The following is a 26,294-nucleotide window of genomic DNA, read 5'->3' as shown; positions in this document are numbered from 1 at the left end:
GAGACCATCCTGACTAACATGGTGAAACCCAGTCTCTACTAAAAATACAAAAAATTTGCCGGGCGTGGTGGCGGCTGCCTGTAGTCCCAGCTACTTGGGAGGCTGAGGCAGGAGAATGGTGTGAACCCAGGAGGCGGAGCTTGCAGTAAGCCAAGATCACTTCACTGCACTCCAGCCGGGGTGACAGAGCAAGACTCCATCTCAAAAAAAAAAAAAAAAGTTAGAATAAAAATAGGAGTTCATACTGGTATAGTCAAGTTCCCCAAAGATGGATAATACAACTGTAGGGGAAAAAGACTGAATGTGAAAATGAATGTGTAAATTCTAAACATTTTTACAAACTCAAAATATTACTGAGAGTACTTTTGGGAATTCTAACTCAGAACTGCTTTGTCTTTCATAGGGTAGGTAGAATGGATGAAGAGTACCTTGCAGAACCTGAGCAGCCTATCTCAGTTTCTTCTAACTGCTTAATCTGTGGAATCTTAAAACAACTCACTTTGCTCATTGGGCCAATGAACAATCACAGTTTTGTTTTTATTTCTCCTGTTGTCCATTTCTTGCTGTTGTGAAATAGGGATAAAATACTCACCAGACAGGCTCATATGATTAAAACAATTCCCTTCTTTCCAACATATTTTCAGTATTTATCAGGGGAAAAACCTTTGAAGTTATCTCTTTTCCTATGAGTAGTGAGTGGAATATCACTAGTGGCAGAATATTAAAGTTCTAAGAGATACTTAGGCTATCTCAATTATAATTAGCGAATTTAGTCCCAAATATGTAAAGGCAAGTCAACTTAGCATTATGTAATCATGGATATGTGCACCTGTGAGAAAATGTGATTAGCTGCTGGTTGTTGAGGTGGGGCTGGCAGAGGTGGCTGTGGAGGTCCAGGCACTTGGGATCTAACTGGTTGTTGAGTCATAGGAGGATTATACACAACTGGACTCCCATCTGGGTTTATGAAGGGCTGACCTGAAAAATTCAAAAAGAGGGAAAAAAATAACTTAGAATACAGGTGGAAAATAGGTCCTTTTACTAACAATTTACAAAGCATGTCCAAAATCCTTTAACCACAATTAAAAAAAAACCCTAATATTTGAAAACAAAGATTTCCTTAGGTTGGGAAATGCCTGCTCTGACATGAGGCTATTAATAGTCTTTATTTCCCTCACTTAAATATTCAAATGTTTTACTGCATTTCTTATTATGGGGTACTGGCCCAGACCGCTAGTGAGCTTAATTTAATTAATTAATTAATTATTATTTTCTTAGACGGAGTCTCACTCTGTTGCTCAGGCTGGAGTACAGTGGCACAATCTCACCTCAGTGCAACCTCTGTCTCCTGGGTTCAAATGATTCTCCTGCCTCAGCCTCCCGAGTAGCTGGGATTACAGGCATGTGACATTACACATGGCTAATATTTGTATTTTTCGTAGAGATGGGGTTTCCCTACTTTGGCCAGGCTGGTCTTGAACTCCTGACCTCAGGTGATCCGTCCGCCTTGACCTCCCAAAGTAATCCTAGCCTTATTTCATAATATGTAGTGTTTCCTGAAAAACTCTGAATTGCGAAACACATTTAGCCTAAGAAATTCAGTTACAGGATTGGGGTCCTATAAGGCTATATTTCAGTTCAAAGAGAAAATGCTTGACTTCAGGATATTGGAAAGTTATTCATTAGTTTTTATTAGGAGGTAGGAAATATCTAATTTTTAGGCCACATTACATATATTTCACTAATAAAATTAGAACTGGATGAAAAACTAAAATAATTAATAGCTCATGTTTCAAATTGTAAACTTGATGGTACTGTCCTTATTTTACAACCTCTTTTCTGTTTTTTTGAGACAGTCTCACTCTGTTGCCCGGCCCAGGCTGGAGTGCAGTGGTGCGATCTCAGCTGACTGCAACCTCAGCCTCCCCCGGGTTCAAGCAATTCTCCTGCCTCAGCCTCCAGACTGGCTGGGATTATAGGCACCTGCCACCACGCCCGGCTAATTTTTACATTTTTAGTAGAGATGGGGTTTCACCATGTTGGCCAGGCTGGTCTCGAACTCCTGACCTCACGTGATCCACCCGCCTTGGTCTCCTAAAGTGCTGGGATTACTGGTGTGAGCCACTGCACCTGGCTTCTCTACACGTACATTCTAAACAACTTTTTCTTATTACAAAAAGTAACATTTGTTTTAAGAAAATAACAAATAGAGACAAAAAAGAAAATAAATTCACCATAATCTCTGTGTGTGTGTGATTTCACTTTTAAGTTCAGGGGCACATGTGCAGGCTTGTTATACAGGTAAACTTGTGTTATGGTGGTTTATTATATAAATTATTTTGTCACCCATTAGTTATTTTTCCTGATCCTCTCCTTCCTCCCACCCTCCACCTTCCAATAAGCCCCAGTGTGTATTGTTTCCCTCTTATGTGTTCACATGTTCTCAGCATTTAGCTCCCACTTACAAGTGAGAACGTGTGATATTTGGTTTTCTGTTCCTGCGTTAGTTTGCTAAGGATAATGGTCTCCAATTCCATCTGTGTTCCTGTGAAGGACATGATCTTATTCTTTTTTATGGCTTCATAGTATTTAATGGTGTATATGTACCACATTTTCTTTATCCAGTCTATCACTGATGGGCATTTAGGTTGATTCCATGTCTTTGCTATTGTGGAATTCCCCATAATCATATCGTTAACATTTCAGATACTGTCTTCCAGACATTTTTTCAATAAGTAGATTAAAAGATTAGTATTTTTCTTTACTAAAATTGGATTGTTAAAAAAAGAAACAAGAAGGGACTACATAAAAAGTAACTGTGCAATGATTACGAGTGAGAAAAATACACAAACAGAAAAATTTGACTGAAAAACAGTTTCTTAAATTGTCTTAAAAACATCTGTTCTTCCATAGTAAATCCCTTTCCATTTTTTTTTTTTGAGGAAACTTATGATATCAAAACATAATATTTGGGAGAGAAGACTATACTAGTCTATAGCTATCAAGCAGAAAAAGTACTCTAAAGTAAAATTATTTTAATCAATTAGTATACTGATAATTTGTGTGACAGTTATAGATAACTAAAAACAAGTTGTCCTGGGTATTTGTTGACTGCTAAATAATTTGGAGAAAAAATTGGTGGAGCAGATTTGGGTGAAGGCGGTCAAATGTAATTTAAGGGTCATCTTAAAAAAGTTAAATGTATTGTAATACTGTTGTCAAAAACCAGAGATCACTTTTTGATTCATTTAAATTAATAGTACAATTCAATTTCAGACCAATCAGTTTCTCACTCTATCCCTTCCTAAGCAAATGAATCTTTCATGTTACCAAAACCATATTATGTTTTGAATGAAAAATAATAGGAAAAAGTAAAATATTAAATCATCTTACATCTTGCTGGATAAAAACAGGAATGTTAGTAACATAATAACCTGAAGAATAAGAAGGTAATTACTAAGCAAAAATTGAATTTCTGAAAAATCAGTTATTTATGCTAATTTAATACTTATAAGAGAAACAAATGTTTGCATACTTCGTCTTAAAAAGAGATGTGAATAAAACCTGAAAGTAATGAGTCCCAAGCCATGATTTTTCTACTACAAATGAAAGGAAAGGGCCAGGAACACTTAGAGACCTTATACTCCCACCCGTATCTGCCTGTAAACTACTGCCATTATGATGAGACCACATCAGCTAAATCTATGAGATTTAAAGTTATCAAAAGATCAAGGAGAGTTTTCATTACCTTGCCAAATGACTGGGCTATGCTATCTTGAAGAGATCAAGACTTCTTGTGATCTTTTACAAGATCATTTTTTCTATATAAATCATTTTTACCAATTTACATAGTGAAATGTACTATAACTGCAGTTTCTTCACCTCTCTGAGGTTCAGTTTCTTTATCTGTAAATGAGGATTTCACCTACCTAACAAGGTTATATTTAAAGCACCTAACAGAGCATATGGTAAAAGTAAATGCTCCAAAATGTAAATTACTATTAGCTAATTGCAAAGAATATGTATTGTCAATATTAATACATGACTCCCCCCAATTTTTTTTTTACTACCAATAAGATGTCCTTTACCTTTTCCTCAGTAGAAAATCAACACATTCTGAAAGATAATTATTTTTCCCCCCTCCATTATATAATGAAAAAAAGCTGCTTATTCAGTCCTTTTTCATAAAATGTATCCGATTTTCCCAAGTATAAAATTGTTGTATCATCCAAAAAAATCAATGTTGGTTAAAAAAAATTGTTATATCAAACAAAGCTCTTTCGTGGGTAGTTGTCTCATTTCTAGGAAATAAACTTTTTTAAAAATTATAATTGGGCTAGTATTTGGCATAGATGATATCACAGATGTACAAGGGGAAAAAAATGCTTTCTGATATAAATGTCTTTGAAACTTCCCTAGCATTAAGTGTTTTTGTTATAAAGTTCTTGGAAAATGTTAATTATTCATGAATAATAAAAAGCTGACTACACATATTCAGAAAATACATTTAATAAGTATCCTTAAATTTTCAGATAATTCCTGAAACACCTTTTTCTGGATACCAACCTGTTTGTGGGTTGATCAGAATACTGCCAGGTGGTATGCCTGCCGCTTCCAAGGGAAGCAAAAAGAAGCTAGTGCTAGGAGATGCGACTTGCCCATTTAGGCCACCATCAAAGGAAAGAGAACTATGAGTGCTGACAGTTGGATAGACGACAGGTGCGCCATGAGAAGACTGGCTGAGAGCTGTACCTGGAAGAGGCTGCTGGATGTGAGAAAGAGAGCCTGTAGATGACCCTACACTACCAGAAGACTCAGAACCTAGAAGAGGAGTAATGAAAAATATGGATTTTTTAAACCTCATATAAAAAACACAGGTTTTTAAAACAACAATAAAATTTACATTGCATAACATGCAGTTACTACATAAAAGCATTGGCTCTTTTTAATTTACTGTCCACGTTTGCTTACCCTCCCCATAACGAACAAGTTTAATACAGCAAACTGATTACGTAAGTTGTCAGAGAAATCACTGCCAAAGCATGCAATTTAAGCACATTTATAACAACACCAGCCACAGACAGCCACAAAAAGCACATTACCCACATTCCCAAAAGGACAAAGTTATGTACATTTTACCTTTTAGATTAACACCTAGGAATATATAGATAATTTTCCCCCAGGAAAAAGAATTTAGTACAGCAAAATGCCCAAAATCTTTAATACCAGAAACCCCTTATCTATAAGAACACAGAAAGATTCAGTGTAAGAAATAAATGATAAATTCTGTATTAAGACAAATAACTGTCAAATTTAATTGCAGAATCTAATTTCTCATTTTACTAGCATAGCATTTTCCCAAAATGTAAAATCAACTTTGAATATTTTATCTAATCAAGGGACAGAGATACCATGAAATATATTCCAAGTACTTATACTGGTGTTAACTTAAAATTTATTTCTTACTGAACTAATTTGATAACTGATTTTTAAATGCCTTCATCCCTGCAATTTATTCCATTTTCTATTATACAGGGACTGAAAATGTCACTGATTTTTAGCATAATGGCTAAAAAAGGTGGCCGAGACAAAGAAAGAAAATGATTTGCATCTTATGTATATAGTTAATTAGGTTTTGAATAAGAGAATTGACTCTGGGATGGATAATTAATCTTTAATGAATGAAACAACTATGATACACTATACAGATTGCCTTCTGAAGGACAGCTTCTATTTTAAGTTATGCCAAAATGACTCTTCATAAAAACTGTATCAATTTACCCTAAGAATTAAAAACAAAAATCATTTTTTGCCTATTAAAAGGGCCAATTAATATTTCTTTTCATCTCTGAAGAGAATACAGAATACATATAGTACACATTCTTAAAATGTTTTAATTTGGCAGTGTGTCTACATAATTTTCTCATGATACATAAATAGCTTTTTCTGTTATGATGACCAAGTGGCCATTTTCCAAATAATGCATATTTGGTACACAAGTAGACTTCTTATACTGATAAAATTTACCTATTTTTAGCAAAATCCTAACATAGATACTAAGATATTTTCAATACAACCATATTATACATTAAAAAGATGACAACTGCAATTCATAAGCCTTAATAATTTAAAGCACTGATTACAGCCCTTCAGTTCAAATATGTCCTTCAATTCTTACGTGTACAATACCTTATGTTTAGGCTCACCCAAATAGGTTAGGGAGAAACAGTCATTTCTTTTCCTTTTTTTTTTTTTTTTGAGACGGAGTCTCGCTCTGTTGCCCAGGCTGGAGTGCAGTGGTATGATCTCGGCTCACTGCAGCCTCTGCCTCCTGGGTTCAAGCGATTCTCCTGCCTCAGCCTCCCAAACAGCTGGGACTACAGACACGTGCTATTACGCCCAGCTGATTTTTAAATATTTTTAGTAGAGATGGGGTTTTGCCATGTTGGCCAGGGTGGTCTTGAACTCCTGACCTCAGGTGATCTGCCTGCCTCGGCATCCCAAAGTGTTGGGATTACAGGCATGAGCCACTGCGCCCGGACAGGGAAACACCCATTTTTGACTTTCACGCTTATTTTGGGATAAAAATAAAGATCTTCAAGGATCCTAAAAACATATGAGCTTCTTTAGTATTGAAGCCAGTTAGAGGAAATGAAAAGAAGAAATGTTATGAGCCAATGAACTCCAAGGAAGCAGGTAGTAGAATGAGGAGATTATTGAAATTTTCAGTCATTTGTAAGTTACTTGTTTTTGTTTTTTAAATTCCTCAAAATCTCCTCAGCAATTTAATTTTTTTAATGGAAAATGAAGGACTTTATCATAAAAAATGCAATCAATAATTGATAGTATTAGCTGAAAATGCAATCAGTGTTAAATAATCCTAGGTGAGAAACCATGCCTTCTACCAACTACGAATAAGTAATAAAGAATTTCCAATTACCTATGGGCATTCAATCAAGAGATAATGTTTCATTGAACCTACCTAATTAAGTTTATGTCACAATAGAGAAGAATTTTTATGGTAATTGATGGTTGTAAATCTGTGTCCAGGACAGAGAGTGAATCCTCATGTCAAGAAACATATTACCCCTTAAGTGCTCCGGAGGTGGTCAAGGTACTATTGATAGTGATTTTATATTTTAGGATAATTAGAAGCCATCTGATAAATAAGGACCTGAGACAACATTAGGAAAACTAATGACTTGACTGCACAGTTTTGTGTAGATATTTATACCTGTTTTTGAAAGCCTGCCTATGCTTTTGCTGCTTCCAGAACTATCACCTCTTGTCAGGACTGAGATTCCACTGAAGCTGCTGGCTTTGGTTACAGCAGGTTTCAGGTTTCGAAGAGAGCTGTCTGAATCTGTGCTGCTCCAGGGTCGTGGTTCCGAGTACTTCAACTCATTCTCAGTGCTGCTTTGATGGCTATTTGTAGATCTCCCTGAAGCATCTTTATTAACTCTGTAATTTAGAAATAAAACCTTGAAAAGCTAATGCAGGGGAACAAAAAGTAAAGAAAAAAATGCTTTAATTTTTCAATACTGTATTGAAAACATGCTTCCAATACCTAAATATCTGGCGCCTCTGCTGGGTACTACTGGCATCCTCGTCTTGGAGTCTGTTGGCATTTTAATAGGACATTTTAATTTTTATTAGCATCAGTCAGACAATTACCAAAACAGATGTTAAAAATTCCCTCACCTTTTGTCAATAATGTAATTCTCTTGGGAACACAGGGACTAGAAAAAAGAATAGATACAAAAAGTTGAGCTTTTGTCAAATATAACGTAATGCCATCTGTAAACCAATGATGACAACAAAAATCATGTGTAATAATGTAAGTTAAAAATGGTGATAAGGGTACACAAATAAATAATAATGGAATTTTTTTTCTGGTTTGGAGATCCTATGCTTACTTTTAACAAATATATAATATACATATCTTGAAACTATTCATTTTGTGGCTCAAATTAATTTGAAATTCAAATATTATCTTCCAAATAAGTGAACCCATTTTCATTATATATTCAAGGTATATATAGGATACATATTCCACTTCATTCACTTAACAAATATTTGATCACCTGTGCTTTATCTGTGGCTAGAGCAGTGAACAAGTAGCTATGCCTTAATGGTGCTTAAAGTCCTTCAGCACTGTTAATCTGGGTTAGGAATGACCATTTTTGTTTGTATGATTACAACAGTCTTCTAACTAGTTTTCCAGTTACCATTTTTTGCCCATTTTATATAACAGGAGCAATCTCTCTAAGATGTCAATTTGATCATAACTCTTCCCACTTGAATGGCTCCCTGATGTTTTAGCACCAGTGTCAGCAAACTATAGCGAGACACCTGTTTCTGCAAACAAAGTTTTACTGGAACACAGCCATGACCATTCACTTATGTATTGTCTGTGGCTGCTGTCACGTTTGAGTAGCAAAAAGTCAGATTTGAGTATCTGCAATGAAGACTATGTGGCTCACAATGCCTAAAACAGCTATTATCTGACCTTTACAGAAAAAGTCTGCTGACCAAAAAAGAAAAAAGCCAAAAGTAAAAAACGAAACAAAAAAACACCACCAAAAACCCCAGAAGTCCAATCATCTTAAACCTTCAGGACCAAGTCATCTCATTTCTGATTATTTTTCCAACCTAAACTTTCCTCACTTCCTATATCACTCAGGCTAGAATCTGGCTACTCTGAATCTTTTGAGACAGAGTCACTCTGTCACCCAGGCTGGAGTGCAGTAGTGCCATCTTGGGTCACTGCAACCTGTACTTCCTGAGTTCAGGAGATCCTCCTGTCTCAGCCTCCTGAGTAGCTGGGACTACAGACGTGCACCATCATGCCTGGCTAATTTTTTGTAGAGATGGGGTTTTGCCATGTTGCTCAGGCTGGTCTTGAACTCCTGAGCTCAAGTGATCCACCCACCTCAGTGCTCCCATAGTGGTGGGATTACAGGTGTGAGTCACTGTGCCTGGCCTCCTCTTAAATCTTTTAATTCCTAAAGTGTGTCAAGTTCTCCCTTACCTCTGGGCCTCTGTACATACTGACTCTCGACTTGGAACTCTTCACTCCTGTAAGGTTACTTCTTGGAAGCTAACTCTCCCATCCCTTCCCCAGTTCTGGTTTTGGTGCTTATCTGCTGTGTCATCTATTACACCTTCATGTCTCTATATAAACCACATACCCTGTTGTCATTACTTGGCTATTCATCAAGGGCAGATACCTCATCTATCTTATAAACTAGAGAGAAGGACATTTAGTATAGGCTTGGAGTTCAGCAGACCTGGGTTGAAATCCCAACTCTGCCATTTTCTAGCTGTGTGATCTCTATTTTAGCCTCCTGGAATCTCAGGTTCCTTATCTGTAAAATAAAAACAATGATAGTATCTACCATATAGGGTTGTTTTGGGGATAAATTATTTTAACTGTCCATGAATATGTTCTCCAGTGCCTAGGATAGCACTTACTACAGGTGCTCAATAAAATTTGTTGAATGAATAAGTTCTTCACTTACAATCTGGATTTTAGTGTTATTTAATCTTCTTTTTTTTTTTTTTTTAACACAGAGGAAATTTCTATCTGTAGCTGATTAACACATATTACAGGACAGATGCTTAGTAGATGTTGACAAAAAACAAATTGATTCTCTTCTGGCATATATGCATAAAATAATTAGCCATTTAGAAAGCCTATCTTATATAATCACTTATGAAGAAGAAAACAGATATTAACCTACAAAATCAATTAGCTTTATTTCAAAAGAAGAAATAAATTATTTGTCAAAGAAAGTCAACTAACAAGTAGCATCTAGAGTATATGATTTTGTAGACAGTGGAGCAATTTCTATTAATAAAAATCTCAAGTCTGTCACAAGTCTGGGGAAAAAAAATCACACAAACTATATAGACTGGAGAACATTCTTTTAATGACTCCTGTAGTCTACCTGCTTCCAACTTTTGTAAAATTTTATATAACTACTGCAATGTAGTATTTTATAAACTATTAATAACACAAGCAAAACTGATCTCAATATTTCTAAAAGATGACCTTATGTGCAACAAATGTGATTAAAAATAAATGTGATCAATAGATAAAAGGGAGACTGAGACCCTACAACGTAATTAGAATATACTCTAACATGAAGACCTAAGTAAGTTAGTACGTACATCTTGGGAAAATATTCGGTCTCTGGCTCTCTGGTACTCTTCTTCTCTTTCTTCTATAGATTTGCTTCTTCTGTCATCTTTCAAACGTATTCTCATCTACAGAAAAGAGGATAATTTTTAGGCAAATGAACTACTGGTATAGTATGTCTTGCACCTATACAAATCCTACAATTGTTCTAGATTACCTGGTTATCATCTTTGTCAAAGCTAGAGTTATCTCTCTTGAGGATATAACGTTTCTGAAAGTCTTCACCTTTATCATCCTTAATATGTTCATTAAATTTCTGATCAGGTCTTAAAAAACAAAAACAAAAACAAAGGAACAGGAAAAGATAATGAACAATATTAGCAAAGAAGTTAAACATAACATTTTATGAAAAGAAATAAAATAAGTTACCACTTTTTAGTGCCATCCATAGATGCTTATGCAGTCTCATTTAGTCCTCACAATAATCTCATGAGAAAATACTAACTATTCCATGTTATGGTTGAGAGGCCATATCAAATACAATGTTGGCTCTGGAGTCAGTCCGCTTGGATTCAAAGGTTGAGCTTTAGCACTTTAGCTGCTTTATGACTTGCACAAGTTACTTAACCTTTCTCTTTCCCGGTTTCTTTATTTGTAAAATGGGAATTATATAGTGTACCTACTTCTTAGGGTTGTTCTGAAGATGAAATGAAAATGTCAGTAACACATAAAACAGTAAACACTCAGAAGTTAGTTACTGATATAAATATTATTGAACAAACCGAGGTTCAAATGGCTTAAGCAAATATGCAAGGTCAAAGGCAGGCATATGATTAAGCCATAGTTGGAGCTCAGGTCAGTTAGACCCAAAGCCTGTACTGCCTCGTCTAAACCTACGAAAAAATGCTGGGACAAGGAAAGTGCAGTGCCGTATCTTATGCTACTCCTATGGTACCTAGTTTGGTGTTATACCTGAAAGTAATAAAATATTTTGTCATTCAATTAGCTAAAAACTTACAGACTACTTCAAAGTGCATCCATTAATTTTAAATTACAGTAGGGCACAGGTTTGCTAACATTAACTGGAACAGGTTAGAAAAGAGATGTTCTTTTATAGAAGTCAAAGTTGTGACCTAAAGTAACGATTATGAAATCTTAGCAATACATTTTATAGTGGACTCATCTTTCTTCCACAGAAATGTTGCAAGTTCCACTGTGATCTAGAGGACAAACACAAGGTTGTGGCCCTTGGAAAATTACAATTATATAAAATTTCACCTCCCAAAATACATTCTCAGCTTCAACAAATTAATTGAATCAATACTCCTGTGACTATCATTCTATTATAAAACTGGAATTATTCTTTTGAAATATGAAATATAACAATATATTAAATGGCTTTAGAGAAAATCTCATTGAACTCCTAGGTAGTTTTTATAGTTCAAATATCAAATGATATATGTGAATAACCTAAGTAAATTTCTAATCCAAATAAATCTGAGTAATGATATTTTCAGCAAACTTCCTTATATCTAGAACCTAAGTAACACTTCTTTTTAAAAAAATTTTTTAGAGACAGAGTCTCACTCTGTCACCCAGGCTGGAGTGCCATGGCACGATCTTGGCTCACTGCAACCTCTGCCACCTGTGTTCAAGCGATTCTCCTGTCTCAGCCTTCTGAGTAGGTGGAATTACAGGAGGGTGCCACCATGCCCAGCTAATTTTTTTTGTATTTTTAGTAGAGATGGGGTTTCATCATATTGGCCAGGCTGGTTGCACACTCCCGACCTCAAGTGATCCACCTGCCTCAGTCTCCCAAAGTGCTGGGATTACAGGCGTGAGACATTGCGCCTGGCCCTAGAACCGAAGTAATACTTTTGAACATTTATTTTAACCTATGAATTTCTAATAAAGTACGTAAAAGCCTCCTGTCAAATTATGCAAAAGGAGATTAAAAGTGAGAATTATCTAAGCAAGTTAATGAAATTTCTATTGTAAAATACTTAGATGGGTGAAATAGAGAACAGATTTGTACATAAATATATGTAAGAAGTAAAAGAAAAATAGGAAGACGAAAAACAGCTTTGTGATCAAAATAATAAGAAAAAGAGTATTTTCTTCAAGGGTTTGAAAGATTTTTATTTAGTTCTGACCATGGCAGTATGTTATTTTTGTCACATGATTGCCCCATTGACTTATGTCATCTATCTTTGTAACTGTTCAAAGTCACATTTTCTTATTCATGGAGTTTATATTTGAACGAGAGACTGCTATTCCAAAGTGAACTATAAGGTTTAACCAAGGGCCTGGCAACTTTTCTAAGAGCAGCTGGATTCCCACACCAACAGCACTGGCAGGCATTTCAGCTAACCTTAAGACTGTCTTACCTCATTCTTTTATAGATGCCTGAATTTACTGCCCTGTAATCGCCAACTTCCCGCTCCATTGAGACACCCCAGTGGACACTGGGTTGTTGACATCCATAACACCACTGATTCAAGGCTGGAGCGGGTAATCTCCCTATGAGGAAAAGGTAAGTTTGTTTTTATTCAATATGGAGCAGATCTCTAAGGTTTTCTGATTTACAACCTTCTTCATATCCCAGAAGATATATATATATAAAAAGTACAGTGTAACTTGAATGATTTGAACTGTCTGATTATAATTATATTATTGACCCATACTTCTTTAAGTATATTATAAGCATCTCTGCTGAGCCTAGCTTTTGATTATCTTGATAAAGACAGCTCTAAAGCTTTTTGACATCATTCATATAATTCAAATAACTGAGGTTACACTGTATTGAAAACCTTAGAGAGTCACCAGTCAAAATGTTAGTCAAAATGCCTGCTAATGTATATGTGCTTGTGTATCCAGCAGCTCTGAGTAATGTTGAGAGGTACTGGTTAAATGAATTAACAGTTCTATTCACCTCTAGCTCAGCTCATAGCTTAATGGTTACTATCCTACTTTAGTCATGATATAACTGACTGGAAAAAGACTAACTGAAAAGAATATTAAAGACGAAGGGATATGAAAATTTAAATTTTAATGAAAACTAAATCAGACTCACATTTTAGTAACATTTAATCCCTATAAGAAGAAAAGATCCCTTTCTAAACACATCTATTTTCACTAATTTACTTTTAATTATAGGAACGATCATTTAAAAATACTAAAGTATTTACTTAGTTTACAAAAAGACTATTTAAAATGGGAGAAAACCAATAGTTCCAGCAAGTGATATGGCAGCTATAAGGACAAAAGACCATAAATCAGAAAAGGCATAGATGAATTAAATATAACCATGCAAATTAAATCATTCATAGATAAGAACCTGGGAGAAATCTGGCTTCAGGAAAGAAAGAAAAATAATGGACCAAAAAGGATTATTTATGCCATCTGAAGTTGACTGCTACTCATTACCACAGACTTGTTGCTGCCTCATATCAAACTGAAATTCCTTTCGATAGGCAAATCACCATCAAAATATAAATTTCAGCTGAACTCAGCTAGTTGTTTTAGGATTAGCCTTAAAAATAGGCAGAAGATGTAACGGATGTGCTGTGTATGTTTTATAACTTGGGTGCCTCTGCATTGGGTCTTCTGTTCCCAAGTAACAGCAATGATGATCTACTTCCGTAACACTATAAAGCAATCAATTCTTAAAACAAAAAGCTCCTCCGGAGAATCATACATAGCCCAGGAAGAAGACAGCACTAATGATATTGCATTAACCAACAGTCCCACTTTCTTAAGAATTGTGAGAGAAAAGGAGTAAATTCAGAGGCTTTTGGAAAGAACGGTAAACTGACAGAAGATTAACTAAATGTGAGGGTGTCACGGACAAAGTCTGCTCTCTCTCTTGTGTTTTTTTTTTTTTTTTTAAATTTGACTAAGGCTGGCTACAGCTGTCTAAATTAATTTTAAAAATCCCTAAGAGTGGTTGTCAAACATCACTGATACTATGTCCTCTGGATTTTTATTTTTTTACCATATGCCCCAGTCCTCATTCATATGCCATATTTGAGTCCAGGCTGTTGCATTTTGTTCCCAGTAAACTAAATGTGTTTTTCAGTCCTATCACATAAGGTTATCATAAAACTTAATTAGACTGTTAAAACATGTGGAAAACCTCAGATGAAAGGTAATATAGAAAGATAAAGTATTATTATTTAGATATATAATATGTAGTTACATCTCTTGACACTTACATTCTTGTATTGCTAGTTTTGTTTACTATGACAGACTTCCCACTCTGATCAACATTGTGGTCTAATCCAAAGTAAGCGGCTACTCTGTGTAATAGCATCCTATGGTAAGATGTCATTGGGGGGAATTTTTTACGTGGAGACCTAGAAGCACAAGAAAAACCAACTTAGTAAGTCAAGGAGAATGGTGATGACAATTTCTTTTCTTGTTGAATGTCAGGACTTACTCATTATTACCAATGAAATCTAAAATTTCTTGTTCCAATTTCAGCAGCATCATTCTGTCCCTGAAACAAAGTATGAAGACTCTTATATGTAAAACTTAGCAATGAAGTAATCACAAATGTCAACAGCCTATGATTTATACAGCTAAATTTCACCCCCTAAAAACTATACATTCAGTATTACCCCAATCTTGATGCTAGAATATTTATTAATGTTTTAAAACAAAAGATGATTTTTGTAGTTTAACTTTTTATTACAGAAGTTTTCACACATACACTAATGTAGAGAATAGTGTAATGAATTTTGATGTACCCATCACCCAACTTTAACAATAATCAACATGTGGCTATTCTTAAATGCATTTTTTTTTTTTTTGCTTACACACAACGAAGGAACTTAAATGTATTTTGATCTGCTTAGTATTACTATATTAGAGTTTGCTCTGTGAATGTGTGGATAATAAAAGCATTTTAGTTTTTATTTCCTCATTCAATAAAGTGGAGAGGAAGCAGAAGAACAGACATCTTTAGTTAGGCTCAGGACTTTGTTATCATGCTGAACTCCATAGAAACAGTATTCTAAAGAACATGCAATGCCAGTAACAACAGGAATACTTCTATGGGAATCTAATACTAGTATGTAGATGGGACTATGGCAGAGAAGTATTAATTATATCGCTAATTTAGAAGAAGAGGATATTTCAACCCATTCTATAAACTGCCATTATATATTTTTAAATTTTCCCATAAAAATCTAAGTGAACCAAAAACCTCCAACATATAAAATAAATAAGGACTCTAGGGAGTACCTGTATGTGCTCCTTTAGATCACTAGGGTCTTATTTAGTTCTCTTAGCTGCAACAAATTAATGGTATCACTCCCCAAAGGACCTCCCTGCTCACACACCCATAACATGGCTCTAGAATTTTCCTGTGCTAATTGGAAATTTCATATACATGTGAAAAAAAAAATGTAACTTACAGAAACTTAAAGCTAAAAGCAGCTTTACAAATCATTCAGTTTTGTCTTCCAAAGTTTACAGATCAAGAAAACGAGGCCAAGAGGTTAATGATTCCCTAAAATAAACACTATGCAGATTATTCTCAATTTCAATAGAAGAACTGGTAGCCCCTGCTTTGGTCACCTGAAAGTCTACACATCAGACCTGCATTTGATTCTCCTCCTACACTGCAAAAGTTTCATAAAACTAAGTAATAACATTTCCCCCATCATTCATTAAATATTTAACTTACATTTTTATATTTGTTTAAAAAAAATCAACAGAAAAACATGTCTACTTGGTGATTTCAAATCCAAAGCTGAACACAGAATTACATTTTAACAAAATTTATAGCAATATTCAGTTTGGTTTCCAAACCTGCTTCTCCTTAGTATATCCCATCTCAGTAACTGGCACCACCTTCTACTCAGTATATGATAGTAGAAGTATGAGAATCTCGTTTTTTTTTTGTTTTTTTTTTTTTTTTTTTTTTTTTTTGGTTGAGAAGGAGTTTCGCTCTTGTTGCCCAGGCTGGAGTGCAATGGCACAATCTCGGCTCACTACTACCTCCGCCTCTCAGGTTCAAGCAATTCTCCTGCCTCAGCCTCCCGATTAGCTGGGACTACAGGCATGCACCACCACGCCAGACTAATTTTCTATTTTTAGTAGAGTCGGGGTTTCTCCATGTTGGTCAGGCTGGTCTCGAAGGTTTTTTTTTTTTTTAAATCATCCTTTTTCAAATGCTCCAATACAGTTAATTACTACTGCAAATTTTATCTACTTTTGATCTATTTTTCTACTGCCACAACCCTGGATCCAGGCAACAGGATTTCTGGCTTGACTACTACAGCAGGAGTATATTGTCTCCCTGTATCTTCCCTGATCTTCCCTAATCTATTCTACATGAAACATGCATAACAATCTTTTAAGAACACATATGTGATCACACATCACTCCCTTTGTTAAATCTGTCATGGGTTTCTTACTGTTCTTAGAACTAAACATATGTACAAGGCAGGCATGAGCTGGTCTTCATCCAGCTCCAGCCTCATCTCCTGACCTGAACTCACAAAACTGTTATCATCCTGGTTTATTTCTGTATTTGCCAAGCTCCTGTCTTTCTCAGGTACTTTGAACATGCTGTTCCCCTTTGCTGAAATATTCTTATATTCTTTCTTAGAATTGTTTCTTTCATATTTTTCTTTAATAGCATTTATCACAATTATTGTCATATATAGTTATTTGAACTATTTGTATATAGAAAGGTTCAACAAAAATATTTTGCATGGAATAAATTAGTAAAATTACTTCATCCAGAAGGTCTTTTAGTATTCTTTTTGTTTTTCTTAAATTTTAGGGGAGGGTGAAGAATTTTTACTTCCTAAAGTTTTCCCAACAAAGAATTTATTTACTAAATTATAAGACCCTCTTTCACCCAAGTTTTGTTTGTTTGTTTGTTTGTTTTTGAGACAGTCTCGCTCTGTCCCCCAGGCTGGAGTGCAGTGGCACAATCTCGGCTCCCTGCAACCTCTGCCTCCCGGGTTCAAGCGATTCTCCTGCCTCAGCTTCCCGGTAGCTGGGGTTACAGGTGTGTGCCACCACACCCGGCAAATTTTTGTATTTTTAGTAGTCACAGGGTTTCACCACATTGTCCAGGCTGGTCTCGAACTCCCGACCTAAGGTGATCCACCCGCCTCGGCCTCCTAAAGTGCTGGGATTACAGGCGTGAGCCACTGTGCCCAGCCTCATCCAAGCTTTTGGGGTTATTGTGAGACAGTATTTTCAGTAACTTTTATAATTTACATATTGCCTTACTGTAAAAAAAATAAAGACGAGAATCAAAAGCAGGCAACTAGCTGGGCGCGGTGGCTCACGCCTGTAATCCCAGTACTTTGGGAGGTTGAGGTGGGCAGGTCACCTGAGGTAGGGAGTTCAAGAGCAGCCTGACCAACACGGAGAAACCCCCATCTCTACTAAAAATACAAAAATAGCCGGGCGTGGTGGCGCATGCCTGTAATCCCAGCTACTTGGAGGCTGAGGTAGGAGAATTGCTTGAACCCGGGAGGCGGAGGTTGCTGTGAGCCGAGATTGTGCCATTGCACTCCAGCCTGGGCAACAAGAGTGAAACTCCGTCTCAAAAACAAACAAACAAACAAACAAACAAGAAAGGAGGCAACTTATTTGGAGTTCATAAAACAGTACATTTAAATTGATTTTCTGTGTTTGAGCTAAAGAGCAGGTATAAGAATATTTCAATTGTTCTTCAGTGAAATGCACTGCCACTGAAATTTCCACTATCTGCATGAAATAACAGAATCTAACAATTTTACTAGCAATTGATAGAAATTTAGGCTTTCTCTCCCCTTAAGACGTACATCTATAGATTGCAGAGGATTTTTAGATTATCTGGGTCACTTATTTTAAAAAAGATACCCTGCTTTTAGTAGCACTTGTTAAAAAAACAAGAATGACAACTTTCCTAAGGTCTTAAGATTTATACCTTCTGCCTTTTATTCCACATTGTAGCTTATCCAAGCTTTCAAATTTTCAAATCTGTAATTGAGGTTAGATATTTTTATAATGGTCATAAGTTAAAGGTTACTAATCCTTTATAGGGGCCCTACATATGAGACTCAAACTAACAGGTAAACTACTTTTCTCAAGGTATATTGATCTTTTAGCAGGTGAGCCAAAACCATCTAAAAGTAGGCACAAACTAAAACTTCTATCGTGTAACCTTTAAAATGAACTGATACATGCTGTTAATTATTAAAGAAGTAATAAAAACAAGCTAATAAACTAAAAGCTAAAATGAAGGGCTAACAATCTTTTAGTTACTATTGTTCTAGTCATTATTCCAGAAGTAATTTTAGAGAAAGAGGGAACCGATGTTATACCAGTGGCAAATAAAAAAAGAAGAAAATAGTAATGCTTCTGTTTGACCACCCTCCACCCAATGTTTCATATGCTCTTGGTTAAATGTCTGCAACAGATAAGAAATAAAATGACTTAAATATTACCTCCAATAAAAATGACTTTTAGAAGATATTTCAGAGAACAAATACGTGACGTTCCCTAGAGCAAAACAAATTACTTAAAAAAATCCACCTTCAGGTTAATCCATGGTATTGTTTTCCTATTACATAATATAAGTTATCTGTACCATCCATATTTCTCCATATAAAATTTATACAATATGGCTAAAAGCAACACAAAAATACATATAAAATTATGTCAGTGAGTGTAATCTTTATCAGTAACACCTTCAGGTTCCTAGGTTCTAATTTATTAATGACTGTATTTAATAGGGTAGTCTCTGAAAATATTGCAGACACCCAGAAATTCCAGATAACTTATTATTTAACCCCTGAAATTTAGTTTATTTATTGGGCTATGACAAGATAATGAAGATTTAATGATGTGAACAAAAATCTTGAAATTAAAGATATCCAAAAAGGAAAGGCTGACTAAATTTTAGTATCACTAAAAATAAATCTGCTTAACATCTAGTAGAATTCTCCAGGCAATATTCAACCCTGAATGCTTCAGGGGGAATTTGCCATACTTCTAACTAATTGTGTACCAGGTATAGCTGGCAATTAGCTGTATGCTTCACTGAGAGAGAATACTGAATCAATTATTAAGCAAACCTTATTTCTCACAAAATTTAACATTAGCTTCAACTTCCTAAAACCACAATGACACTAATAGTAACTTATACATTAGCCATTACACGAATTATTCACTTGTATATTTGCTCAAATAAAAATGCATACACAGAAGGAATAAAAAAAGGTACATGCTACAATATGGATGAACCTTAAAAACATTATGCTAAGTGAATAAAAGCCAGTCATGAACGACCATACATTATATAATTTCATTCATATGAGATGTCCAGAACAGGGAAATCTACAGAAACAGAAAACAGATTAGGGTTGGGATCATCCAATATCAGTATTACTATTATTATTAGCATAGGAATAGCTACAATGTATGGGGTTTCTTTTGGGGCAATGAAAAAGTTCTATAACTGTGGTGATAGTGCTCCTATCTGTATATTGAATATACTAAAAACCATTAAACCGTACAGTTAAAAAATGTCTATGTGGATAACTTAAAAACGTTTGCATCTATAGAGGAAAAATAACTACACAATCAAAACATAATTTGGAAGACATAAAAATGGATTTATAATCTTTGTTCCTTGCTGATGTCTTTCCCACAGGTTTAGAGAGAGAAGAAAAATTCTGCCTGTCTAGAATCTTATTTTACTCATACTAGTTATGAATTCCTACCTTCCCACTTATTACTCAACCCACTGAGTTCTGGTTCCCACCACCCTATCCCAAATGAAATGACTTGTTAAAATAGCCAACAATTTCTAACTTCTGAATCTAACAAATTATTTTTGGTACTTGTTTTGGAAAACCTCTTTAATCATGTTTTCCCTCTGTTCTCACACCAACACAACAACAATCAACAGAGAAGACTTCTGTGACCCAAAATATGTGGAGATTTCTCTCCACCAGCAAGCAAGCAAGCAAGCAAGCAAGCAAGCAAGCAAGCACGCACGCACGCACGCACGCACGCACGCAAGCAAGCAGTTCTACAGTGGACAACAGCTGGGTGTCCTCCAATTCAATTCTGACACTCTATACCTGGAGATAGTGTCAGATCCCACAGTTTGGGGCTCAGTCCCCAAGACTGCCCCACTTCAGACACCAGTTCCAAGTCTAGGCCTCTGGAACTTCTGACTACCAGCTTCAAGTTGGGGTTCCCATGACCCCTGCTTTGGATTCAACTAGTTTGCTGGAGCAGATCACAGAACTCAGGGAAACACTTACTCATATTTGTTGGTTTATTATAAAGGATACAGATGAAGAGATGCATACAACGAAGTATGGGGGAAGAGGGATGGAGCTTGCATTCTTTTCCTGGGGCCTGACATCCTCCAGGAACCTCCATGTGTTCAGCTATCGGGAAGCCCTCTGAATCTGTCCTTTTGGGTTTTTATGAAGTCTTCATTATGTAGGTATGATTGTTGAGGAGACTGACCTTCACCAATCTCCTCATCCAGGAGATTGGGAGCAGGGGCTGAAGTCCCAACCCTCTGAACATGCCTTTGTCCTTCCAGTGACCCGCCTAATCTGATATCTTGAAGCTATCAGTCAACATTAGCATACAAAAAGATAGCTCTTTGGAGATTACAGGTATTTTAGTTGTAAGCTAGGAAACGGAGGCAGACCAAATATATATATTTCGCAATCTTACAATACTTATATTTTCATATCCCTCTGTTATTTTATTTTAATTAATTCATTCATTTATTTTGAGATGGAGTTTTGCTCTTATTGCCCAGGCTGGAGTGCAATGGCGTGATCTCGGCTCACTGCAACCTCTGCCTTCCAGATTCAAGCAGTTCTCCTGCTTCAGCCTCCCAAGTAGCTAGGATTACAGGCATGAACCGCCCAGCTAATTTTTGTATTTTTAGTAGAGACGGGGTTTCACCATGTTAGTCAGGCTGGTGTCGAACTCCTGACCTCAGGTGATCCACTGTCCTCAGCCTGCTAAAGTACTGGGATTACCGGCATGAATCATTGTGCAGGGCCCCTCTGTTATTTTATTTTCAGTGTAACTGTTCCCTTTTGGTTGAGTTCCAGGACAAATGTTCTCAGGATTCCTCTGCTCTCTCTCTCTCTTTAGAGATGGAGTCCAGGCTGGAGGGCAGTGGCGAGATCATAGCTCAGTGCAGCCTCAACCTCCAGGACTCCAGTAATCTTCCCACCTCAGCCTCCTGAGTAGGTGGGACTACAAGCACATGCCACCAGGCCCTGTTTTTGCTATCTTTAGTACTTGGCCTTTCTGTTCTACTCTACTGTCCCCATTGCCTTTCCATATAAAAATGATCATCAAGTCCTGCCATGATACTTCCTAAATATCTTTCAAATGTGTCTTTTCCTCTCCATTCTTTTCTATGGTCTCCTAGCCACTCTTTTTCTTTACAGTTATCTCTGCCAAAATAATCTTTCTAAAACACCAAAGTAATCTTTCCAAAACACAAATCTCATTATGGTATGGCCCTATTTAAAATCCAGTTTAATTACTCCTTAACTTGGCATGCCATAGTCAGTATTTCTCGACTGATGCACTACTGGCATTTCAAGACAATTTTTCGTGGTTCATCACCGTTTTATAGGTCTTTTTGGCATCCCTGGCTTCCCAGCAGCACTCTGCACTCACTGGGACAATCAAAAGGTCCCCTCACATTTCCTCACTGCCATAGGGTGTTGGTATTATCCCTTGCTGACGATAGTTGGATATGGCCTATGCTTCATATCTCACCAGTACCTTTACTGTCACTTTCCTTTTTTTTTTTTTTTTTTGAGACGGAGTCTCGCCCTGTCGCCCAGGCTGGAGTGCAGTGGCGCATCTCTACTCACTGCAAGCTCTGCCTCCCGGGTTTACACCATTCCCCTGCCTCAGCCTCCCACGCAGCTGGGACTACAGGCACCCGCCACCACACCCAGCTAATTTTTTATATTTTTAGTAGAGACAGGGTTTCACTGTGTTAGCCAGGATGGTCTCGATCTCCTGACCTCGTGATCCACCCGCCTCGGCCTCCCAAAGTGCTGGGATTACAAGCGTGAGCCACTGCGCCCGACCTTTACCATCACTTTCTAGAATAACTTGCCACATGCCTATCTTTCCTTGAATATAACACTTCCTCTCACATAACTATGCCTTGGCAATCCTCTAGTCTCTATCTCAAATGCCCTTCCCATGTCTCTCTGTATAGACAGCTCCAATATAAAACACTCTTAATTCAAGATTCAGGTTAGGCACTACCTTTTCAGTGACATATTCCAAAATCCTTTCAGAGGTTGTGGCCCTTCTCTGGCTATTACAGCACCTGTAAACCTCTTTTACATTTGTTTTATTTTAATTATCAGGTGTCTTTTTCTAGTACAGAGACAGTGAATACTGTAGGGTCAGAGCTTCTATGTAATACCTTTTCATATCTACAATGTTTAGCACAATGCTTGGCACATAGTTAGAGCTGTTCAATAGACTCATAAATTTATCTTTCTGTTGGGACTACTGAGGAATAAACTTGAACTGGAGGAAAAAAAGTCAAGGAGAGTTGCCTACCTTCTCTCTAAATCCTTACCTATAATCCTTCAGCTCCTATTATAGAGACCACTTCATTTTGGTAATTCTCTTTGGGGTTGATATTAAATACGAAACAGAAAATCAAGATAGTACTGAATACAATACATCCTGAATAAAAACAAGTTATCTTGAAGCAAGACTGTGTAAGAGATAAACAACTCTCTTATCTTCCGTGTGCCCATATCTAGTGACATCATTTTTATTTCAACGTATGTCAACTCTGGAAAGCTACTACTCTGGAAAGCTAACATCTAGAGGAAGATTTCTTCACCTTGGCATCTTTCACTCCATGAAAGTGTTGGTCAGATAATTTGTGGGTAGCCATTTTTGCAGGGAGAATGTCTCAAAGTGCTTATGAGTTGCCAAAAAGTTAAAAATTATTCATTTAGTAATCTGACAAAATGAAAGATTTCACAATTAAAGTACTGACTCAAATAAACACCTCAAAAATCTTTGGGTTGATGATTTATAAACTCAGCAAGAAGGAACAAAAACTTTGCATTTAAAAACTTCAAAAACTCATAAGTGAATACACTAAGTTCTTATTTGGTTGAGTGCACTATGGTGAGATACCTATTTTTCTTTTTTCTCATGATTAATGGTATATGTCTAACTCAATCAAGAGCCTAAATATCTTAGTGATTCTATATTTCCCAAAATTCATACATCATGGTGACATGCATAATGCAAAAAGATATTTATATATTTGCATATACTAGACCAACAACATCTTTGCCCTAAAAAACTAAAATGTTTCTGGTGTACTTCAAATATCTGCAATCTTATTCTATTACTCTAACTCAATAATGAAAACATATATAGCAAAATTATGGTACTCTAGAAGCAATGGAAACCTTATAAATTTAATTTTTACCTGGGATTGTTTTTTAATGTATTTACTAAAAATTCATGTAGATCTATGCCAGTTGAATCAGTGTATTCTTGACTGGAATCTAAAAAACAACAACACAAAAACCCAGTATAAAGTTGTTTGAAAACAAGTCCCATTCCCTTTTACACATGATGTATATATATCTTAAATAAAACAAGATGCCCCACATTGAAAAAAATTCGACAAAGTAGGAAAAGTTACAATGAAATCAGGTGACCACGATGTTTCTATTCCCATATAATGTGCATGACATGAGTTTATATAACTGCATATCCACGCACATTCTTAAAAAAAAATTAACCTCTCACATGTGTCTGTTTAATTTCCTCTAAATTCTTTAAAGATCCTTTTATATACTCACCACAACCTCATGTTCAAAATGCCTCCGTGGGTGAAAAATTTAAATGATTTACATAATTAACTACATTTGTAGCAAATTAAGACAGCTTAGTTCAGATATGAATATAATGGAGGCAATAATTTGGAGGTAGATAGAAATTTTAGTTGTGAAAGAATTTGATTTTTGTCAGGTCTATTACTACAGGCTTGCTTTCAAAATACTTTTCAAATATTCATGCTATCTTCGCCTTAAATGTAGTATCTTTATACTATTTATAATACTGGTCAACATAACTGGGTTTTTAAATTTAAAAAGCATTTCTATTGATCTGCAATGCTAGGTAATAGTGAAGACCCTCCAAACTTATAAAAAATAAACACTCTGTTTCCAAGAATATTCTTACTGGATACTCAATATTATGACATCAGCTCTTTGTACCATAAGGAATTCAAGAGTGATAGTATCCTTAGATGAATCAATATAAAAATTATAATGACTTTAGTATTTTACTATGAGTGAGGGACCAGTAAGAGATTAAGATGTCCTCAACGTCTGTTATGTGTTGCATTTTTGGCTGAAACGTCTTACTGATATATGGAACTGTGTTAAACCATTTTGCCCAGATGAGTTAAGTACTGTATCATCCTTCCAGTCTGTTCTGTGTCATTTTACATAAAGATATACTATATATAATTATTCAAGGGGAAAAGGATGGAATTACTGATAGCAAAATTTTTTTTTAAAAAAAAACAAAAGAACTGCAAACCTCTTGATAACATTTTTCTGGGCAACTTATCACTGGCCTTTTCTTTTTCTGCTTCATCTTTTGAGGGCTTCTCTTCTTTCTCAAATGATTGTGTTAACTGGATCTGAATTTTCTCCTGTTGGAAGGCAAAGTCAATTATTCAATGAAAATACAATACAATTCATTTAATACCACACATTTATATTTTTTGAGTAACACAGAATTGTACAGAGGAAAAAGATTATTTTACCCAACTGGATTCTTCAAACTAAAAAACAACTTAATAATACTTTACTACTTTTATCAAATACTTTATATAAAATGTAAAACTAACGTTCTGAGTTGAATATATCAATTAAAACAAATCCTCAACATTATAGAGAAAATAAATGTTTTCTATTATAGTTTAAGTGCATCAACTTGTAAAATCCCCGGAGGATGAGAACTCAGGTCTTCTTAACTTATTTTTGCAAGGAAGATGCCAAGCAAGAGCATAATTATCATCAATCATGACAATACGAATGTATAAGTGTCAAGTCAATGATTAATAAAAATCAGGTTTCTGAGTATCCATTATAATCACACATTCCTTCATTCTCCTACCATATAAAAATGTTAAGTACAAACATTTCCAAAATCAACGGCACACAGCTTTATTTCCTTTTTGAGATTTATATATCACTGTCAATCCTTCAATCACCACAGTTTTTTAGAAAGATTTCAAACAAAATTGTATCCTTACAGATACGTAATGTTTAATTGTAAAGTAACCACATTCTGTAAGACTGAAAGGAGAATTCATGTTTTATTTTAAAAACAATGCCATTACATGTAATTCCAGAACCCAAAGGGATTACTAGAAATTAATCCACACAGAAAAGGCAAAAATCATGTAGCTCTGTTTACTTAGGTAAAGTTATAAAGAAAGCTATAATAAATTCTACACCAGTTTTACTAAAGATAAAAGTGTAGCCTATTTTTAGACTAAATTATACTGTTGTTCTATAGTCAAGAAAACCATCAATCAGACACGTAGACTTTTTACCCCAATAGGACTGCTACCTGCTATTTTCATCTCTTTTCTTCTTCTTAATTCATCATACCAGTTAAAATTTGTGTTCATAATATAGGGTAAATGATGCACACTGGCAGTTTTTACTAGGATGACAAACACTTGCTTTTTGCACTCTCTGTCTTGTTTACCAAAGACACTGGCAACTTCCTTACACTCATCAACCAGTAAGTAATTTTTCTTATTGTGATTCATTTTCCAACCCACTTTCTTTACGCTTTTCATAACTGTAAAACAGGTATCTAGAAATGAATCCCAGAACTATTTTTCAGAAGTATAATATTTAGAAGTTTTCTTGACTTGTAACTACTATTCTGGTTACTCAAGAGGAACCCAGTGAAATCCAGGCTGGGAGAAAAGATTTCACACTACCTCCTCTTAGATCTTCACTAAAAGGCACTTCCAGTAACTAGCAGATTTCATTTCTAAGCTCTCCTCAAAAAGCCATATATTTTAATTACAGATACTAAACTATTTTATCAAGATGAACTATAT

At 35.6% G+C, this 26,294-nt stretch overlaps 1 protein-coding gene across 7 annotated transcripts in view; it reads right to left on the bottom strand.

The window, feature by feature from the left end:
- The window catches only part of R3HDM1 (R3H domain containing 1), a 193,786-nt gene that overhangs the window by 78,913 nt on the left and 88,579 nt on the right, over positions 1 to 26,294 (bottom strand). For 6 of the 7 annotated variants that reach the window (NM_001378107.1, NM_001354200.2, NM_015361.4 and 3 more), the window contains 11 exons: positions 24,749 to 24,863; positions 23,625 to 23,703; positions 14,580 to 14,639; positions 14,356 to 14,496; positions 10,359 to 10,467; positions 10,174 to 10,269; positions 7,702 to 7,739; positions 7,568 to 7,618; positions 7,235 to 7,461; positions 4,567 to 4,821; positions 830 to 978 (listed from right to left, as the gene is read on the bottom strand). In NM_001378107.1, coding sequence (NP_001365036.1) covers positions 830 to 978; positions 4,567 to 4,821; positions 7,235 to 7,461; positions 7,568 to 7,618; positions 7,702 to 7,739; positions 10,174 to 10,269; positions 10,359 to 10,467; positions 14,356 to 14,496; positions 14,580 to 14,639; positions 23,625 to 23,703; positions 24,749 to 24,863 — 1,320 coding nt within the window. The remainder of the gene's footprint in view (positions 1 to 829; positions 979 to 4,566; positions 4,822 to 7,234; positions 7,462 to 7,567; positions 7,619 to 7,701; positions 7,740 to 10,173; positions 10,270 to 10,358; positions 10,468 to 14,355; positions 14,497 to 14,579; positions 14,640 to 23,624; positions 23,704 to 24,748; positions 24,864 to 26,294) is intronic. The other variant, NM_001282799.2, reaches the window with a different exon arrangement.

The sequence above is a fragment of the Homo sapiens genome, chromosome 2 (genome assembly GCF_000001405.40).
Source record: "Homo sapiens chromosome 2, GRCh38.p14 Primary Assembly".
In the NCBI taxonomy this organism is placed as follows: domain Eukaryota; kingdom Metazoa; phylum Chordata; class Mammalia; order Primates; family Hominidae; genus Homo; species Homo sapiens.
The sequence above is the reverse complement of the archived record's forward strand: the minus strand, read 5'-3'. Positions and strand labels throughout refer to the sequence as shown.